Source organism: Homo sapiens, chromosome 11 (assembly GCF_000001405.40).
Source record: "Homo sapiens chromosome 11, GRCh38.p14 Primary Assembly".
Taxonomy (NCBI): Eukaryota; Metazoa; Chordata; class Mammalia; order Primates; family Hominidae; genus Homo; species Homo sapiens.
This window is the reverse complement of record NC_000011.10, coordinates 27,423,446-27,444,509: the sequence shown is the minus strand read 5'-3', so window position 1 is coordinate 27,444,509 and position 21,064 is coordinate 27,423,446. Positions and strand designations below refer to the sequence as shown.

Here is a 21,064-nt window from a genome sequence, read left to right as displayed (position 1 = left end):
AGATTCAATTCCAACTTGTATGACCCTTTGTCTCGGTTGACTAGTTGTTTGCTCTAAGAATATTTCATGTTTTGCTGTTTCTTTCAGTTTGTAGGTGCTAAGCTATTGAAAGGTTTAGAGACTAATCTAGGTCTTTCTAAATTATGGCTGCTTGCAGTTTTATTCCTGGAGAAATGGTTTAACAGCACTTCTTTGAGTTGGCACTCTTCTGCCTGTCTCAGCTCTAACTTTCCCGCCTCCTTCTCAGTAGTCCCTCTTTCACCCTCCACTCCCCAAGCCTGAAATGGAAAGAACTTGCTTTGTTACTGATGATAATATTTAAGCTCTAAAATTTTAACAGTGTTTCAGTTGCAAATAAATGGAAATTGTGTATTCTGTTTAATGTGTTTCAGAAAATCCCTGCTATTTTTTTTTTCTTTAAATACAAGAAAACAGGCGTGTAATGCCTCATTGAAAAAAGCCTGTAGGGGTGCTTTGTGCAGGTCTTAATTAAGGGCTTTGAAAGACCAAACAAAAGGAAAAAGGAAAATGCTACAGGGTTATTGTTATTCCACCCCATTGGCTCAGCTAGCTGACCATCCATTGGAGCATTTTGTCCATTTTGAAACTGAATGACACTTTTGTTCGTGATTAACAGAGGTGAAAGAAGCCAATTATTGGGCCGTCTTTTTCCATAGAGCAGCTGCTGTTGGATTTAACTGCAGGCAAATATGGCCTTTTACTACCACAAGGATGTTGTGATGACAGTTTATTTTTATAGAACTCTGGTAGAAAACAAAATCTGTCTGACTCCTGTTATGAATATGCCCTGGAATTTTCATGAAAGGGTCATTTTAATGTTCTAGCTGTCCCAGAGTTCTCTTTAAAAAACAATGTATATGTATATAAATACCTATGTACATATTTTTAACAGCTCCTTGCGTATGGATTCAGCCTTAAAGTTATGTAAAGATATTTTTTAATTTGTACATTTGTAAGCTGCTTCAGCCTTTCCCCATTTTCATTTTAGTAAAATCCCCCAAAGCTTGTTAAAGTGGCCAAGTAATTAGGGGAAAACAGAGTCGTCTTGCTGAAGCTGTTTTGATATACAGGCTACTTAGGTGGGACGCATGAGTCTCAGAGACCACCTACCCATTAGTTCAGACTTCTAACCTCTCTGGTGTTCAGTGGTAGGAATGAGCTTGGGGAGGAATTTCCCATCGTGCAGTGGTATTACTTGAGTGTGTAATAACAGGTGTACCTGGGAGAGGGGCACATGGTTCAGCTGTCAGGATCCACCCAACTCTGATATGCCCTTAGACAATGGAGTGGGAGATGGGGTTTGGAGACCAGAGATCAGCCAGGATTTCTTTCAGTAAGACTCTAGGCCTTCCATTTTTGAGGCATCCTTGTGTTGTGGATAAAGTGCCCTGTCCAGTGTTTCCTTGGGCAAGTTTCTTAACCTTTCTGAGCCTCAGTTTCATCCTCCAGTTGGAGTTAATAATACCTGTCTCTCAGAATGGTTGTGAGAATTAAATGAGTTGAGCACGATATGTGTCTAGTACAGTCCCTGTTATATAGGAAATATTTGATGAATACTAACTTCCTTTATTTCTCTTTTGCTGTGAACAGCTCCTTATACCAAAATCTGAAACCAAACTCTGCTTCTTACCCAATTAGTCTTCTTCCTTCCAGATTTTCAAGTAGCAGAGGATTCAGTTTTCAGGGATAATTTAATGAAAATAACTGTCTTCTCTCTACGGCCCTCTCTTCTTCATTTGTCTAGAATAGAACCAACACAGCTCTTGTGTATAATGTGAAGAACATGGAATATTGACTCTTTCTTTGTGAATGATTGTCATAATTCATTTTAGAGTCTTCTCAGGTCTGGTGCTGTTTTGCTCTGTAATCTTTTGAAAATCACCTGTGTTTTTTTGTTGTCGTTGTTGTTGACAACATAGTGGTAATAACATTTAACTCACTACCCCTCAGATGTGTTTGAAGATGATTATAAGTGGTTTATAAGCCCTCTGTAGGTATCACTACATTAAAATGGAAGAATGAGGCCCCTAAAATTGTAAAACAAAACAAAATAAAGTTTTGCGGCAAGGTAGGTAACGTAGTTGTGTAGCTGCATGGGACTAAGTTATTAGTTGAACAAGGTGTTTAATATTGAGGTTCATCTTGTGGCCTATCAGGCTCTTTGGATGGCATTTTCACCCCTACAAAAGAGTGAGTAGTTCTATTTGTAGACCTCCCACAAAATGTGGTATTGGAGCTGGGTTGCTAGTCTCTTCTTCTCTGGTTTGATTTCCCACTCCTCTTCTTAATCCCAAGCCCTTGCTTGCCCCATTCTGTCTAACCCTCTTCCATGGTTGATATGCTTTTCTCCATCTCAGCCTCTTCACTAGCTCTTCTCTGAAGAACTGCTTCCCCTGCAGACTTTTGGTTAGAGGCTGCTCATCTTCCTACACTGTTAAGAGAATAGGATTGATTCTCACCGCTCCTCATTGTTGCCCATAGGTCACTGGGCTTTCATCTTAACTCACAATCTCTGTTCCATCTGTGGTCCCTGACCTTTAGTTCTGATCCTTCGCAAATACTGTCATCTACTGGCTTGTCTGTTGGTCCCCTTTAAAGGAGGATTGGGTGCCAAGTTCATGATCTTATGATTTCTGCCATCCTCTCCCCTGCCGTAAGTTCTGTCATTCACCCAACATGGACAATCCTTTTGACACTTTTGCCTCTCATTTCATTTATCTCCATCACATTGGTGAGCCCTGTCTCAACTCCACTTCAGCCTTTTCCTCCCATGACCAAATCTTGGACCTTGTGACCACAGAACTGCTAAATCCCTCTGACTACAGCCCCTCTCTCTCTCTTTTTAAGAAAATTTTTAGCTCAGTGTATACAAATTTTTCAGCCTCATTAAGCCCTCATGTCCCTTGAACTTTTTACTTTCTCTCTATCATTCATTTCTTTCTCTGGTTAGATTAAGATCTGTCCATTCCTTTAGCCTCAGTGTCCTTAACCCTCTTACCCTGTTGTCTTATTAAAGGCGATTTTTTATGTAATGATGAAATCAATCTTATTTAGTCACCCATGCCACTTTTTTTGTGTGTGAAATACCTAGTAAGTCCCAAACTAAGTACTTATCATACATGACTTAACTCATCATTTGAGGAGGTAGTTAACTAGTAGAGGCTGACTGCTTAGATGTAATGGTTTAATGGAGAATGAGAATGGAACTTTGACAGGAGAAAAGGCTTTCCATTATGGCACTGTGTGATCTTGTTCACATCATTTAGCCTCTGGGTTCTAGTTGCCTCACCTATGCATTGAGGATACTTGGCTACATGATCCCCAATATTTCTCTAGTTCTATGAATTTCTTATTCTGTTTGCTTAACTGTGTCACTTCAGGTAAGTCAGTGTCACTTTAGGTAAGACTCCTCTGGGCCTCAATTTCCCCATTTGTAAAAGGGGACACTCTCCCAACCCTACCTGCCTTGTAAAGTTGCTGTGAAGTCCAAATACTTTCACGAGCATAAAAGTGCTTTGTGAGAGCCGGGCAGTGGTTCCCCGTTGTGCCACTATAATGTGTATTCGAATCACCAGGAGGGCTGTGTAAAACACATTGCTGAGACCCACCTCTAGGATTTTTGATTCCATCGACCTGGGTGGGGGCCCAGTTACTTGAATTTCTGGCAAATTTCCAGGTGATATTGGTGCTGCTAGTTCTGAGAGCACAATTTGAGAACCCCTACTTTAAGGAGTTCTAGATATGTGAGATACTACCTTACCCTTTCAGACAGTTCCATGTGAGTATGTTAACCATACTTCTTAGTGAAAAATAAAGAGAAGCCTCCGGGTCTTTGTGGGAACAAAGTTACAAATTAATTGAAATCCATACTCTTCCTAAGCAGCTTGGACCTACTACTGTCCCACATGTAAGTATGCAAAACTACATTTTGCCAAGAATTAACTCATGAGAACCATTGAACTTGTATTGAAAGTCACCTTAACAGTGGTATTGTGCTCTGTAAAACTGGAATCTTTTCCCACAAGATGCATGTAAATAAGAGATCTCAAAAATAGAAAGACTCTCTTTCTCAAAGAATACAAACAGGTGTCACATAGAAAACTCGAGATGACATGGGGATTATTTTTCTCAGGTTTCACAGACTGCGGTCTGGGTTGGCTTTCAGGATTGGTTTGGAGAAGGGTCCATCTGCTGGGTGGGCAGGTGTATTCCTTCCCATGTGCTCCGTGCCTCTCCACACCCCTCCACTGTGGTCAAGATGCATTGTAGAAATCCTACCTCAAGGCTGGGTGCAGTGGCTCACGCCTGTAATCCCAGTACTTTAGGAGGCCGAGGCGGGCAGATCACCTGAGGTCAGGAGTTCAAGACCATCCTGGCCAACATGGTGAAACCACGTCTCTACTAAAAATATAAAAATTAGCTGGGCGTGGTGGTGGGTGCCTATAATCTCAGCTACTTGGGAGGCTGAGGTGGGAGAATCGCTTGAACCTGAGAGGCGGAGGTTGCAGTGAGCTGAGATCGTGCCACTGCACTCCTGCCTGAGCAACAGAGCGAGACTCCGTCTCAAAAAAAAAAAAAAAAAAAAAAGAGAAATCCTACCTCAAGGAAAACCAGAGAGTGACAATTCATATTTAAAAAATCACTCCCTAGGGTGTCTTTAAGAGTGTCCCAGTTTTTAAAGTATTCGCTCACTACCTGCTTCATAAAATGGCCAGGGTACAGGGAGGGAAGTGGAGCAGAGAGAGGTAGACAAAAGAAAACTTCTGCTATTGAGAGCATTGCCGAGTAAAAATGCACCCAAGGGAATGTTAAATGACATAGTTTCTGTGGAAAACTGTGGTGGTTCCTCAAAAAATTAAAAATAGAGTTGCCATATGGCCCAGCAATTTCACTCCTGGGTATATGTATTCCCCGCAAATTGAAAGCAGGATTTTAAAAGAAATATTTGCACACCTGTGCTCATAGCAGCATTATTCACAATAGCCAAAATGTAGAAGCACCCCACATGTCCATTGATGGGTAATTGGATAAACAAAATATGGCATATACACACATACAATAGAATATTATTTAGCCTTAAAAAGGAAGGAAATCCATCCTGACACATGCTACAAAATGGATGAACTTTGAAGACATGCTAAGTGAAATAAGCCAGTCACAAAAGGAGAAACACTGTATAATTCCATTCATATAGGTACTTAGAGTAGTCAAAATTCATAGAGACAGAAAGTAGCATGGTGGATGCCAAGGGCTAGGGGGAGTGGGGAATAGGGAGTTACTGATTAATGGGTAGAGTTTCAGTTTTGCAAGATGAAAAAAGTTCTATGTGGATGGATGGTAGTGATGGATGCTACTGAACTGTACATTTAAAATGGTAAATCTCCATTTACCATCACGACATCTCCATTATGAAAATGTCAATATTCTTATACATCAGGGTTTTTTAACCTTGGCATTGACATTTTGTGCTGGATAATTCTTGTTGTAGGGGCCGGTATTAGCCTGGGTTTTCCAAAGAAATAGGACCAGTAGAATATATATAGGATATATGTATATATGTTTACTGAGATTGATTAAAAGGAATTGGCTCAGGTGGTTATTGGAGGTATAGTTCCAGTCCACGACTGAAGGCCTGGGACCCGGGAGAGCTGATGGGGTAAGTTTCAGTTAGAGTCTGAAGGCCTGAGAGCCAAGAGAGTCAATGGTGTAAGTTCTAGTTCGAGCATGAGTCAGAAGGCCAAAGTCTCAGCTCAAAGACAGTTAGGCAGAGAGAGCAAATTCTCCTTTACTTCACCTTTTAATTGTTTTCTAACCTTCAACAGATTGGATGAGGCCCACCCATATTAAGGAGTGCAATCTGGTTTACTCAGTTTACTGATTACAATGATCATCTCATCCAGAAACACCCTTATATATATACCAAGAATAACGTTTAACCAAATATGTGGGAACTCCATGGCTTAGTAAGTTGACACATAAAATTAACCATCATAGGGTCTGTCTTAGGCATTGTAGGAGGCTTAACACCATCCCTGGCCCCTACTCACTAGATACCAGTAACCTCCCAGCTTCTGCCTGCCAAGTGGTGGCAACCAAAAATATCCTCAGACATTGCCAACTGTCTCCAATGCCAGATCACCCCTGGTTGAGAACTATTGCTATACATTTTTCAGAAGAGTATAAATGTCTTAGGTAAGGAAAATAGATGTTCATTCTAGACTTGCATTTGTTTTGCCATCTCTTGCAATTTTTAGATAATGATGTTTTTATGTAATACATACTAGTTATCAGTTTGTATTGGGAGAAATGTGGAAAATGCACAGACCAAGATTTGGGTCTTGATTCTGGTTGTGTGGCTTTGAATAAAGAAATGGCCTTTGATTTACTCATCAGTACAAGTTCCAAAGGTGGGGGTGAGAATGACTTGAACTAGGTCATCTCTATGGTTTCTATGTCTTTTTTTTCCTGGGGCGGGTGGAGAGTCTTGCTGTGTTGCTCAGGCTGGAGTGCACTGGAGCGATCATAGCTCACTGCAATCTTAACCTCGCAAGCTCAAGTTGTCCTTCCATCTCAGCCACCTCACCCCTGTCCTGAGTATCTGGGACTACAGGGCACGCCACCCCTCCTGGCTGTATTTTTTAATCTTTTTTGTAGAGACAGAATCTCACTATGTTACCCAGGCTGATCTCAGACTCCTGGGCTCAGGAGGTCCTCCTGCCTGTACCTCCCAAAGTGCTGGAATTATAAGCTTGAGCCATTGTGCCTAGCTTTATGATTTCTTTTAGCATAAACACACACACACACACACACACACACACACACACACACTAGTCCTTTAAAAGAGATTCAAGTAAAAATCCATAAAGACTTTAAAAATAGGACCACCTTCTTTTCATGCCTAGCATTACAAGGATTGGAAGGACGGATCTAGTCCCTGTTCTTGCAGGAAATACCTGACCAGGTGACATGCAATAAAAATAGTCACTCCTTCTCAATTTTAACTCACTATTTATTTATAAAGCATTTGATAAAAAATGCATTTTATGGAGGTACGTTGGTTTTAATGATTGCTTCTAGGTAGCACTTTGAAACTTTTCTCAACACTAGAAAATAGTAGCATGTCTTTGGTCTGTTCAATACACATGGATAATTATAATTTCTTTTCAAAACAGCAATTTATAAAAAAAAAAATTGGCCAAAACAGTAGGGTTCCTTGGCTATTTTTAGGGAAGAAATTACTAAGATGCAAAATAAGTTTTAAAATATAAACAAGTGTGTGTATATTTGGACTAACTTACATGTTTACATTGGTTGTCCTGAGTCAGCCACATAAGTGGCAGTTTGCATTCTGGGCCAAGCTTTTTAGCCTGCTGGCCCCCAAATTTAAGACCCATCCCAACTTTTTTGGCTCATGTTTCTATCTAAATATTGGGTGGAAACAGCAGAAGAACCAAAGTAAAATGGAAGGGGGGATTTTTTGAAATTAAAACTAGTTAGTAACCAAACAGACAGATATATGCCAGATTTTTTAGTGCCATTCCCACCCCCTCAAATCCCTCCATCTCCCTTCAACACCCCCTCCTATCCCCGCAATGCAGTGCAAAGACTGGTATAGCTAAGGGCCTATCTATCAAACAGATTCAAGATTTGCAAGCGTAAGACATGTAGGGTTAGAGTTACCTGCAGCTGTGTGATAGGTACGTAATAACATATGAACAAACGATATTAACACCTGTGGTGAGTGAGTGGTCCAATAGCTATTTTTATTGCCATGTTGTAAACTATAATGACAAAAATTGTAGGGCTTATAGAAAATATCTTTACTGCTATCATGATTTATTTTCCTGGGATTTTGTTCTTTTTCCTCTCCATATACATGATAAAAAAATATGGTGAAAACACTATTACATATATATTGTTAGTTATATAAGTGTTGTCTTCACTTTTCACCAAGCCAAGTGAAACATCCATCCTTATAATTTATCCATCCAGGATAAATTTCCTGGATAAATAAGTAGTTTTAGAATATTTCTTAAAATCATTCATTAGTGCCTGACAGTTTCTTTCCTTCCTTCCTCCCCTCCCCTCCCCTCCCCTCCCATCCTCTCTCTCTCTCTTTCTTTCTTTCTTTCTTTCTTTCTCTCTCTCTCTCTGTCTTTTATTTCTTTCTTTCTTTGCATTATGGTGTAGTGATTCGGGAGACAGGATTTTGAAGATTGTCTGGGTATTCAGATCCTGGCTTGACATCATTTCGAGGTGACTTTAAGAAGTTCCATTTGGCCAGGAGCAGTGGCTCACACCTGTAATCCCAGCACTTTGGGAGGCCAAGGTGGGTGGATCACGAGGTCAGGAGATCGAGACCATCCTGGCTAACACGGTGAAACCCCATCTCTACTAAAAATACAAAAAATTAGCCGGGCGTGGTAGTGGGCGCCTGTACTCCCAGCAACTCAGGAGGCTGAGGCAGGAGAATGGCAAAAACCCAGGAGGCGGAGCTTGCAGTGAGCCCCAGATCGCGCCACTGCACTCCAGCCTGGGTGACAGAGCGAGACTCCGTCTCAAAAAAAAAAAAAGAAGTTCCATTTCCAGTTCTGTAAAATGAGAATAGCGATAGAACCTACCTCTTAGGATTATTGTGAGGTTAAGATATGTGAACCATTTGCCTCCAGCCTGGCACTAGATGCATTCAAAGTAGTTGATGAGCTGGGCACAGTTGCTTATACCTGTAATCACAGCACTTTGGGAGGCTGAGGTGGGAGGATCACTTGAGGTCAGGAGTTCAAGACCAGCCTGGCTAACATGATGAAACCCCATCTCTACTAAAAATACAAAAATTAGCTGGGTGTGGTGGCAGGCATCTGTAATCCCAGCTACTTGGGAGGCTGAGGCAGGAGAATAGCTTGAACCCAGGAGGCGGAGGTTGCAGTGAACCGAGATTGCACCACTGCACTCCAGCCTGGGCAACAGAGTGAGACTTCATCTCAAAAAAAAAAAAAGTAGCTGATGAACAGAACAGAAGAGGCACTTGGTCAAATAAGTGTTATCTAGAAAGGATAATACCATCATTAGAATTTGATCATTTAAGAGACTCTGTCTAGTAGCATTGTTATCTCTGAGTTTTTGTTGTTGTTGTTGTTGTTTGTTTGTTTGTTTTTTGAGACAGAGTCTCACTCTGTTGCCCAGGCTGGAGTATAGTGGTGTAATCTCAGCTCACTGCAGCCTCTGCTTCCTGGGTTCAAGCTATTCTCCTTCCTCAGCCTCCCAAGCAACTGGGATTACAGGCGTGCGTCACCATGCCCAGCTAATTTGTATTTTTAGTAGACATGGGTTTTCACCATATTGGCCAGGCTGGTCTCGAACGCCTGATCTCAAGTGATCTCCCGACTTGGCCTCCCAAAGTGCTAGGATTACAGCCATGAGCCTCTGCACCTGGCCAAGTTTTATCTATAAGTAGCTCGTCAGGAAGGTCATCTGGTGTAGTGTTGTGGGTTTCCAGCTGCCTGTTTGACACGTTGCATGGTGAAATATGAAAACTAGGGGTATTGTCATGATTTTTAAGTGACTCTATTATTAGTCACTTTAAGGGGCCATCTTTTATTGTAAGATCATACCGTTTGGCTTTTGGGGGAGAATATTAAATTTAATGTTCCTCCCCTCTCCCCTCTTTAGATTGATGGAGTTGTTTTATAAATGTGCTTATAAGTCAAAATAAAAAAGTTGACAACCTTGAATTGGTCTCTCCAGTTGTGTGGTATTTCAGGGGCTATGAATAGGCATTGTATTGATTTAAGGTACCAGAATTCTAGGAGTCACATTCATGGTAGGAAGCTCTTCTCTAGTGTCCTTGACAGATTGTCTTTAGCCACTGCGTTTAGTATCTCTGGCAAGGCAGGGGCTTCTCTTACTGAACAGCTCAAGACATTAACAGTAATCTTTTTTGTTATTTTTTGTGATACAGTTAGCTTCCCAGTTCAGTGTAGTGGACAGACCACAGGCCTCTACTTCACCAAAAATTATTTTACTTTGGGTATGTAAGGCCAGAGTTGTGAATATTAAAAGGGGAAATGAGATGTAAACACTAAGCTATATTAAACATTTTGGAATTATTAGTTCCTTTCTTCCTTCCTTTCCCATTGAAAGCATCTATTGATTGTACTTAATTCATGCATCTAGAGCAATGGAGATATTCTTCTCTTATTTACATGAGAGCTCTTCAGGTTTCTTCCTCAATCTCATCTTCTCCAGAACAAATAGCCTCTCTTTTCAGTGGCTGCCTCGTCAGGTTCCAGATCCCTCACTGTCCTGGCCTTCAGTTTTGGAGGCTGAATATGTGAAGTTTCTATGTTTGGTTCATGAATTCTGCATGGGCACCTAGTATATGTAGGATAGTAATAAAAATGCCTTAAGTTCCCAGAAGGCTCTGTGGTTTTAATGGTGCTTTCCAATCTTCCCAGCCCTGAGGTAGGGGAGATATTTTCCCATTTGACTGTGAGGAACCTGAGAGCCTTTCTAAGAACAAACAGACATCATTTAATTTTAGAGTTGGGAAGGCTTTGCATGCCATGCCGACCTCACATCACAGAAGAGAAACTAGAAGCTCAGAAGAGTTAAGGGACTTGCTTCAGGTCACATGGCCAAAGTTTGGCTGTGGCCCATGGGAATTGGACTCCATTTTTAAGTCCCTTTTTAACCCAGAAGTTGAACCACCACACTGTGCTGCGTCTGTGTTGTGCAAAGGATGAGAGAAGCATAAAGCAAATAACGGGCTCCTTAGTGCAAAGAACTTGCACAGGAATAGAATGAATGATTTGTTTTGCCTTTCTGTTTAGTTCATTTAAAAAATTCCAGCCGCTTACATGATAATAGGGTATAAACTATAGGAGAAACATTCACAGGGAGGATAGTTTAGAGCACACTCTGAAGAACATTAGGTTGTGGGAGAAAAGAATAGAAGAGTGGGCCGGGCATGGTGGCTCACACCTGTAATCCCAGCACTTTGGGAGGCTGAGGTGGGCAGATTACAAGGTCAGGAGATGGAGACCATCCTGGCTAACACGGTGAAATCCCATCTCTACTAAAAAAAAAAAAAAAGAAATAAAAATAAATTAGCCGGGCGTGCATGGTGGCAGGCGCCTGTGGTCCCAACTACTGGGGAGTCTGAGGCAGGAGAATGGCGAGAACCCGGGAGGCGGAGCTTGTAGTGAGCCGAGATGGCGCCACTGCACTCCAGCCTGGATGACAGAGCGAGACTCCGTCTCAAAAAAATAAAAAAAGAAAGAATAGACGAGTGTTCCCTGTGACTGATCTAGGGTAGTGTTCCTTAACATTCCTTTTCTGATGTGTCAGTTTTTTGTTTTAGTTTTTAATTTCCAATCCAATATGGTTCGTGTTTTTATAAAATATAAACATTAATTTTCAGGAAAATAAAATGGAGCAAAGAAAGCCTACATAATACAAACCCAAAGTTCTTATTATTGATTCAAAATCATAAAATTTGTCATGTTGCCATGATGTGAACTTTCAGTAGCTCTGCTTGTCTCATTGTGGAATGTTAACAGTTTACAGACTACTCAGGTTTTGAGTAGCAATGGTGTAGTGGGAAAAAAAGTGGGAAGAAACCAGCTGTTGTGGTGGGGAGGATATACGGGTAAGGAGATCTAAGGGAAGAGGACCTAGCCAGAGCGGAAGAATATAGGTGAAGCATGCAAAGAAAAAGATTAAGGTAGTATAACTGATGGAGAATCTCAATTTCTTCCAGTGGGTGGAGAGGAGTTTAAATTTGCCTCCAGAAGCAATGGGGGGTCCTCTGTAAGATCTTAGGCTTGTCAGCGCTTTGCTTTAGACACTCTCGGATGTCCTAGTAATTCTAAAATATTTGCTGCTGTCTGTAAGTTCTAGGTATATCCAGAACTTCTTCGTTATATGTCAATTGTTCTTCCATGATTTCTTTTCTCTTTATTTTCCTCTGTTATTTGAAGGGCAGAAATAGGCTGCTTTTTTCCATGTCCACCTCTTTGAATTTTGCCATTGGGTCTTCTCTGGGACAAACACTTTATATGAAGTAGGTGAGCCAGTCTCCTGTACTCCTTATCCTGTGGCTTGACCACCTCTGGGCAATTTCATTCAATTGCAGACATCTTCCAGGAAATGTCTAATTTGTTAAACAAATACTTGTTTTATTTCTGAGCATTTTGAAAGCAAGGTCAAAGATGGTGGCTGGGGAGAGAAGGTGTTCAAGTGGAAAAGGCTGCTAGCGTACAGTAGGAAACTGTGGGAAGGAGGATTTAGGGAATTGTAAAGACTAGCCCATCTTAAGTAGGGTTAGTGCTCCTGGTATGTGGAATGCCTTTTTATTCCTTGCCTAGGAGTGAGTGGCAATGCTCTGCTATGTAGATCAGTATTTCAGTCCTGAACCACCAGGGCCAAGAATTTGCCATCCTGCTGGGGATAATAACCGGCAGGATGTGACATATTACAATCAATGTGCATAGAGTACCTTCCTTATGTCAGCATGATCCAAACACTTTACATGATGAATTACTTTATTCTCACAGCAACCTTGTGAGGTGGATGCCATGATTCATTATTTATAGATGAGGAAGCTAAACACAGAATTTAATCCATCTGTGGAAGATCACGCAGCTAATACATGGTAGAACTTGGATTTGAACTCAGGCAGCCTTGCTGAAAGTCATGTTCTACTGCCTGAGACTGAAATAATATTATATGGATGGAGTGCTCTTGAAGATTGGTCATCTTACACGGATTAGTAAGTTCTTTGGATGGACAATCCTTTTGTCCTGAGTGCCAAGAAATATGGAAGAAAAAGATAGTGACCCAAGAGTCATGGAAGAAGAAAAACAGAAGGAAGAGCAAACCCAGGCTAGGCAGTGTCTTTGGGGGACGATGAAAAACAGCAGACCATTTAAACGTCCATGGTGTTTACATAGCTTTAGTTTAGTAGCACAAATATTGGTTATGGAATAGGATATCTCCTCCCCGTGAATGTTTATAGTATGTTAGGTGTTGGGCTAGGGGTTAGAAAATTGATAGTGAACAAGGTAGACTAGCTCTTTGTCCTCATAAATGTTCTTTTCTAGTGGGGAAGACCATGAACGCATAAGGGGCCATTGTAATATACTGCAGTGGTTCTCACATGTGAATGTGCATCAAAATCACATGGAAAGTTTGTTAATACCCCTAGAGTGTTTGATTAGTTGGTCTGGAGTAGGGCACAAGAAAGTGCCTTTCTATCAAATTCTCATTCCCAGGTGACATTGGACCACTTTCTGAGAACCCCTCGCTCAGTGGTTAATGCTGAAGAAAGTTTGTTTTCTAATAAAGTAAAAGGAAAGAAGATAAATCCAATGATAACTAGACAGAGGAAATAAACTGGTTGGTAATATAGAGTTTACTGGGGGCCATTTTAGGGGGGCTAAGAAGAGACTGTCTGAAGGGGTGACATTTGAGAGAAAACCAGGAGGTAAGAAGGAGGTGCTATGGGAAGAGCTAGGGAAGAATAGACCAGGCAGAGAACAAGTGCAAAGGTGGAAGGAGGAGAGGTTTGCGTGCTTGTGGGGGTTGGGGGAGCTGGGAGTGGGGTGGGGATGATTTGAGATGATGTTGGAGAGGATGCAGGAGCAAGTTCAGGTAGGGCCTTGATATAGAACAAAGAGACTGCTAAGCACTGGATTGGCATGAATTGTCTTCTTGTTTTAAAAAGATTGCTTTGACTGCCATGTGTAGGTCAAATTCAGAGGGGCAAGCATGGAAAGAGGGAGACCAAACAGAAGGCTACTGTCGTGGTCCCGGGAGAGATGGTGATGGCTTGGATTGAGGCAAGGGGTCGAGGGGTGGAGAAACAAGATAGAAGTGAGCTGGAGGAATGCACTGTTTTTGTTTCTACTGGCTTATCACCGCCTGGGGATGCTCATAATGGAGGCCCATGAAAAGCTTAAATTATATTTCCTATGTGCTGTTTTAGAAAACAGAGAAGCACAGATAACATTTTAGAAAAATAGTCATTATCAAGTTATTTAAGTGTCTGTGCCTCCACCTCCTCCATTCCCCTGAAGGTAAACCTCAGCTATCTGGAAAGCTTGGCTGTCCAGGGCAACTTGTTCTCTGAGATCTCTGATTTAGCCCTGTTAACGTGGAGTATAATCTGTGTGTGTCATTGCTTAATTGTTGGCATGTAGTGACTCAACTGGTAATTTAAATTAAAAGACTGCATATAAGCATACTATTGTTCTTCTTGGATCTCGATGGAGCTTTGAGTGGCACTTAAGTGATGGTGTCTTTGAATTAATTACTATAGCTGGGGAAGAGCTGGGAAAACACACTAGGGAAAAAATGCATAGTTGTGATGTAGGAGTGAGAGGAGTACGTTCGATGTGAGAGTGAGCCTAGAATGAACCATACCGGAGTTAGAGAATAAAGGAATAGATGCCAAGTACTCACAGATGTCTGGGGCCCCATCTACACCACTGCACCCTGCTGAGGTGTGGTCAGCTGGTAGCCCCACCTGCTCACTGATGGGGGAACTTCCCCCTGCCCTGCAGGGCTGCAGGGGGAACAGTCACATGGAGGTCCCCCCTCTTCCTGTCTCTCAGGATCCCAGCCCAGGCAATTCCACCTCAGGCAGTCTCTTTCTCACATGTTTACACACATCCTCTTCAAACCTTGTGTTTCTTTTCCTTTGCTCTTTTAAATCTTGCCCAGTCACCTCAGGAAATTCTCTCCTTTTCTTTGTTCTATTCCAGAGCCAAAATAAGGGAAAAAACTTTTTAGTCATGGTTAATATGCGTGAGATTCATGCTATGATAAACATATTGACAAATGATCTAATTACCAAATCCTGTGGCTCCTCTATTTGCAGGTTGTTTGGACAGCAGAACACTTTCTATCCTGGAAGCTTTTCTTTTAGGTTCCTCCTCCACTTCCTGATCACTCCTGTTTCCCACCTCCCCACCTCCCCTTCCTGTTTCTATTCCCTTTTTTTTTTTTGAGATGGAATCTCGTTCTGTCACCCAAGCTAGGGTGCAGTAGCGCGATCTCAGCCCACTGCAACCTCCGCCTCCAGGGTTCGTGATTCTGCTGCCTCAGCCTCTTGAGTAGCTGGGACTACAGGTACCTGCCACCATGCCCAGCTAATTTTTGTATTTTTACTAAAGATGAGGTTTCACCATGTTGGCCAGGCTGATCTTGAACTCCTGACCTCAAGTGATCTGCCCACCTCAGCCTCCCAAAGTGCTGGGATTACAGGCGTGAACCACCGTGCCTGGCCTGTTTCTATTCCTCAACTCTGGTTATATCTAGAAATGTTTTTCTCAGCCATTTTCTTTATTTTTCTCCTCTTTATCTCTAAGTGATGCCATCCACTTCTGCAGTTTTAATGCTCCGTGTTGCCCACTCCCTCACCTTTACCTCCTCTTTGGCATTTCTTCTCAATTCTAGGCTTGAAGTTACAACTCCCTGCTGGATAACATCACATGACCCAACAGATCCAACACACTTTTTCCTCCTGTTGTGTCTCCAGGTGACAGCAGCATCACTCTACCGGCTACATGGACAAAAAAACCACCATGTCATCTTCAGAGTTTGCCTTTAAGCTGCACACAGTGGTACATGCCTGTAGTTCCAGCTACTTGGGAGGCCAAAGCAGGAGGATCCCTTGAGTCCAGGAGTTTGAGTCCAGCCTGGGCAACATAGCAAGAGCCTATGTCGTAAAAAAACAAAAAAAAGAAAGAAAGAAAAGTTCACCTTTTTTTCCAACCTCTAATCAGTAACATTCAGTAACAAAGTTCTACTGGTTCTGCCCCTCAGGGGGCTCTTATCTATCTATACCTTTCTGTCCCTTGTGCTGCTGTATTGGTTCAGGATCTCATTTATCCCTCATGGTTGATCTTTCCTTCTTGACTCTGCAATCACTTTTTTATACTTCCAAGCAAGACATGTTTGTGCATTTGTTGGTGTATGCATGCCAGGCACGTAGAGCGTGCTCACAAGATACTAACATAATCCATTTTATTCCAAAAAGAGCGCAAGATAGGCCGGGCGTGGTGGCTCACGCCTGTAATCCCAGTACTTTGGGAGGCCGAGGCAGGCAGATCACTCAAGGTCAGGAATTTGAGACCAGCCTGGCCAACATGGTGAAACATCGTCTCTACTAAAAATACAAAAAAATTAGCCAGACGTGGTGGTGGATGCCTGTAATCCCAGCTCTCGGGAGGCTGGAGAAGGAGAATCACTTGAACCTGAGAGGCAGAGGTTGCAGTGAGCTGAGAACGTGCCACTGCTCTCCTGCCTGGGTGACTGCATCTCAAAAAAAGAAAAAGAAAAAAAAAAAAGAATGCAAGATAGCTTACCAAAAAATGCGTAAGATAAAATGCAAAATAAGTCGATGAGATGACCAGGAACTACTTCCACCCCCCGACTCTTGCCAAACAGGGCAAGAAAATATGAATCCAGGACAGGAATTACTGAAGCTACTCACCTAATGTATGCATTTGTAAACATCGGGTTACAATTTTGGCTGACAGAATCTTTAGCTGATAGGGAAAGAGGGTCCATTTCTGTGATTCCACGTTGTCCATAAGATAAAAAAGACAAGTTGTGAAGGAGAAACGCAGCTATTCTTGGAATGGAGGTCAGAGAGAACTTTTTTCCCAAGGGCTCTAATAAGGGAATTCGGTGTAACTTCCTGAATAGTAACTTCATTGGCATTCTTGGAATAGTCATAGCAATCAGTTTCTTGAAGCTGCTACTTCTAACATCACTCATTGTGGGCCAGGAGAAGAGTGCCAATGTGCTGTTTCAATAAAGGTAGTTGCAAAGGTGTAGGAATTGTAAAAATTGTGCCTACCCACCAGAATTTCTTTGTAAAGCAACCTTGTTTATGTTTCTTAAAAAATATTTCATACCTTCTTGCTCCATTCTCAAACTCTGTATTATATGGAGCTTCCCTGGCAACTGTAATATGAGCCTGGGTTATCTTTCTAGGTTGTTCCGAGACTGCAGCCTGTACCTGCCAATGTGCTGCCCCATAACCCAGCCATACTTGTCTACTTGCAGTTTCCTGAATGGCTCTGTCCTCTAGACTCTACCTTCATGCCAGCTGTTCTTTCGTTTCGGAGGCCCTTCCCTGTACTCCTTTACTTGGCTGTTTTCCCTACTTGCATACAGCTGCTCTTTTTCCCCTTAAGATCAGAGGGAATGTTTTGCTCATCATGCCAATAAAGATATGTTGATCAACAACCAGAAAAGCTGTGAGTTTTTTAAGTAAAACTGAACATACTACCATCAATAATACATCCACTCCTTTTAAAGGTACCCAGAATTCCATGTTATAAATTTTGCCTCATTTTAAATTTATTAAACTTCTCCAAGCACCACTATTATTAATAAGCAAGAAGAGACTTTTCCTGCATTTCTTTGGTTAGGTACAGGTAGTACTGTTTTTCTCTTTGTTTTGATGTTTTGTTGTAACATTAGGTCATTACTTTAGCTACAGGGAGGGACTCACCCCACTGTGACCCATTAACCTCATAGTCTAAGCACCATTTGACCATTGTTTCTGGGGAAATTATTTTCCCAAATTCCAAAGCATATTTTTAAAACATCACTGCAACACAATCCAGCTTAAGGTAGTGGAAAGAATCATGGACCAGGATTTATCATTTGGAGTCTGATCTTGATACTTTAATGAATTATTTAACCCCTCTGGGTCTCAGTTCCCTCATTATTAAAATGAGATGGTGAGATTAGATGGTGATTGCATGTTGGTGGTTAACAGAAAAATAATAATAACTGACTTTTTGCTATGAGCTGGGGACTCACCAGAGGTCATGTCATCTAATCTTTATAGCAGTGTTCTAAAGTCAGAATTGTTATCTCCGTTTACACTTGCAGAAACTGAGGCACAGAGATTAAGGGACTTGCCCAGGGTTATACAACTAGTAAGAGTTATACAGCAGGCTCTTGGGCTGGCTTGGGGAAATTGTTAACCACTGTGCTTTCTAGTTCAGTGGTTCTGTGAGATACTATTTATAGGATAAAGCCTGTATTTTGAAATTTTGAGGAAGAAAAATTAGTTTTACTGAAATCCAATTTTACATCATTCCTCCCAAGCTATTTTTAATGCAGTAACTTGTATTTAAATGAAAACCTTACTCTCTTTCCTGCTTTTCCCCCAATGTGTTTGCATGTAAAGTTATTATTTGGTTGTAGCAATAGACAGGGAGGAAATCTGTCGTTAACGCTCTTTACTGTCCATAGGAAATGTTGGTCTTTCCCGGAAACTTATTAGGTGTCCCATGTAAAGAAGATATTTTATATGTCTTCCCTTTCTTTCCGCCTGCAACCAGCTCTTTGATTTAGATGGTTGGAAAATTGTTAAGCCTGTTTTTTCTTTGGAAGTGCCAAGTAAGTACTTACTACTATTACTATGTAAAGCATTTAATGCAATGTCTGGCACATCATTCACTCAACAGATGCTATGACCACACATGGCACTAGAGGCTTGGCATATAATAGTGAGCAAAACACAGACCCTACCCTAACAGAGGAGCATAGGGGTCCAGGGAGAAGAGCAGGGAATCCATCAAAGAGATATTTATAAACTTTACAGATTATCCATAAGTTTAAGTTTTTCATATTATCATAATATTGTACAGATGAGGAATTAGCCTTTTATTCAAGCCCTTTTTCCAAGGCAGTCCAAACCAAAAATTCCACCTCTTCCCATCACAACCCACCCAACTTCATTCAGCCATATCTACTGCTATTAGTGGGATGGTCAGTTCATTTACTGTCCATAGTAGGATACCTTTGAGAGTGAAAGGGTGTACTATTAATATTTATGATGGAGCTGGTTATGGTGGCTCCTTCCTATAATCCCAGCACTTTGGGAGGCTGAGGTGGGATCTTCGCTGAGGCCAAGAGTTCCAGACCAGCCTGGGCAACAAAGCAAGACCCTGTCTCTACAAAAAAATTTTAAAAATCAGCCCCTGCATGCCTGTAGTCCTAGCTACTGAGGAGACTGAGGTGGGAGAATCTATTGAGACCAGGAGGTCGAGGCTGCAGTGAGCTCTGATTGTGCCACATGTACTCCAGCCTGAGTGACAGAGTGAGACTGTTTCAAAAAAAAAAACAAAAAAAAAAACTGTGCTGAGACAATAACTATAAACTGCGATTGTACCAGGCCAACCAGAATATATTATTGTTGTCACCTAATTCATGGTATCTGAGTTGACCCTCCAATCTTACATTCTTTATTTTTTATTTTATTGCTATGTATCTCTTCAACCATGTGAAGATCCATTACTTTATTTCTGATTGTCAACATATCGAAGTTCAAAAGCCGACTCCACATTATGCAAATAGACTGATAAAGTTAAGCAGAGGGGATCGATATACTGGATGGCTACTAATCTTAATATTATCGCCAGGCAGGTGTCTCACGCCTATAATCCCAGCAACTTTGGGAGCCTGAGGCGGGTGGATTGCCTGAGGTCAAGAGTTTAGACCAGCCTGGCCAACATGGTGAAACCCCGTCTCTACTACAAATACAAAGATTAGCCAGGTGTGGTGGCACGTGCCTATAATCCCAACTACTTGGGAGGCTGAAGGAGGAGAATTGCCTGAACCGGGAGGCAGAGGCTGCAGGGAGCTGAGATCGCGCCATTGCACTCCAGCCTGGGTGACAAGAGTGAAACTCCGTCTCAAAAACAAACAAACAGACAAAAAACCTAATCTTAATATTACAAACATGATCAGGTCGGGTTGCTAGTTTAGCTGAGCATCCACGGCGATGGGGCTTCTACTGTCATGGGCTCCCTCTGTGATGTGGCCTTCTTTCTGTGATGAGCTCCGTGAGCTCCGTGGGGTTTCTCCTGCAATGGTGTGATCAGCTCCCATTGCATTCTGGTTTTAGGTGACAGCAGAGGGACTACCTGGAGAAAGTGTGCATCTGGGCCTGGGAGAATTAGTAAGCGTGGGGTCTCACTTTATTGCCTAGGCTGGAGTGCAGTGGTGCCATCTTGGCTCACTGCAGCCTCAACCTCCCAGGCTTAAGCAGTCATCCCACCTCAGCCTCTGAGTAGCCTCCCTCAGGCTCCCGAGCAGCCTCACTATGTTGCTGAGGCTTGTCTCAAACTCCTGGGCTCAAGCAATCTTCCTTCCTCGGCCTCCCAAAGTACTGGAATTGCAGGGGTGAGCCACTGTGCTTGGCCTTATATTCTTTAAGATTATGGTCTTTATAATGTGTATGTGTGTGTGTATGTAAGTGAATTAGAGGTGTGTGGCTGGTTTTGCTGGAGGTTAGAGGAATTAGATATTCTCTTCCTTGTAGGAGCTTATTTTCTAAGACATTTGTTTCTCTGCTTACTAATTTAGTAACAGAAACTGCTTCAATAAAACACCAGATCAACTGCAGAATTGAGAAATTTTCTCAGGTAAATGTCATAAAGCAGTAACTCTCAGTCATCTTTCTCTGGACAGAAAACTATGTTCTGCCGTGAAATTTATGTTTGTGTCTGGGTGTGTGTATGCTTTTTCTCTGTTTTTTCTTATTAAGCAAATTTCATGGTAGCACGTTGTTTTCTCCCTGGAGAAAGAAACAAGGGACCATATGATTCATTCTGATTGCAAAAATTAAAAAGAATTTAACCTTTTTGTTTGTTTCTGGGACTTTTTAGAACTTAAAGACTTGTCACAAGTGGAGCTGTCCAAGAGTATTACAAACCAGGTTTAAGAATATTTGCTCCCCAAGATTCAGGACATTGTCATGCTCTGATGGCATAGCCTCTTCTCTGCTGAATAAATCATTAGTGATTTTAATGAGTTATAAGTCATTCCCAAGGGAATATTTCTAGTGACATTTTATAAACCATCATTATCAATGTCTATTGTCTTACAGTTAATAGAAACAATTGAATCATCCCAGTTATAATTTTGAGTCATTTCTTTAAGGATAGAATACATTTTTATAAGCCTTTAAAAAATGGCCATCAGAGCAGAGGGGAGAAGGAGAGAGAGTGTGTGT

General features: G+C 41.7%; 1 protein-coding gene across 2 annotated transcripts in view, besides 2 other annotated features; it reads left to right on the top strand.

Annotated features, from left to right (window-relative positions):
- Nucleotides 1-21,064, top strand: part of LGR4 (leucine rich repeat containing G protein-coupled receptor 4) — a 106,830-nt gene that overhangs the window by 28,281 nt on the left and 57,485 nt on the right. The gene's annotated exons all lie outside the window — the stretch shown is intronic.
- Nucleotides 104-846: an enhancer, noted in NCBI's record as "OCT4-NANOG hESC enhancer chr11:27465211-27465953 (GRCh37/hg19 assembly coordinates)". NCBI's record gives its function as "activates a minimal SCP1, AML or CMV promoter by ChIP-STARR-seq in naive H9 embryonic stem cells {active_cell/tissue: H9 hESC(naive)}" and the evidence as "EXISTENCE:reporter gene assay evidence [ECO:0000049][PMID:30033119]".
- Nucleotides 3,227-3,839: an enhancer, noted in NCBI's record as "NANOG-H3K4me1 hESC enhancer chr11:27462218-27462830 (GRCh37/hg19 assembly coordinates)". NCBI's record gives its function as "activates a minimal SCP1, AML or CMV promoter by ChIP-STARR-seq in naive H9 embryonic stem cells {active_cell/tissue: H9 hESC(naive)}" and the evidence as "EXISTENCE:reporter gene assay evidence [ECO:0000049][PMID:30033119]".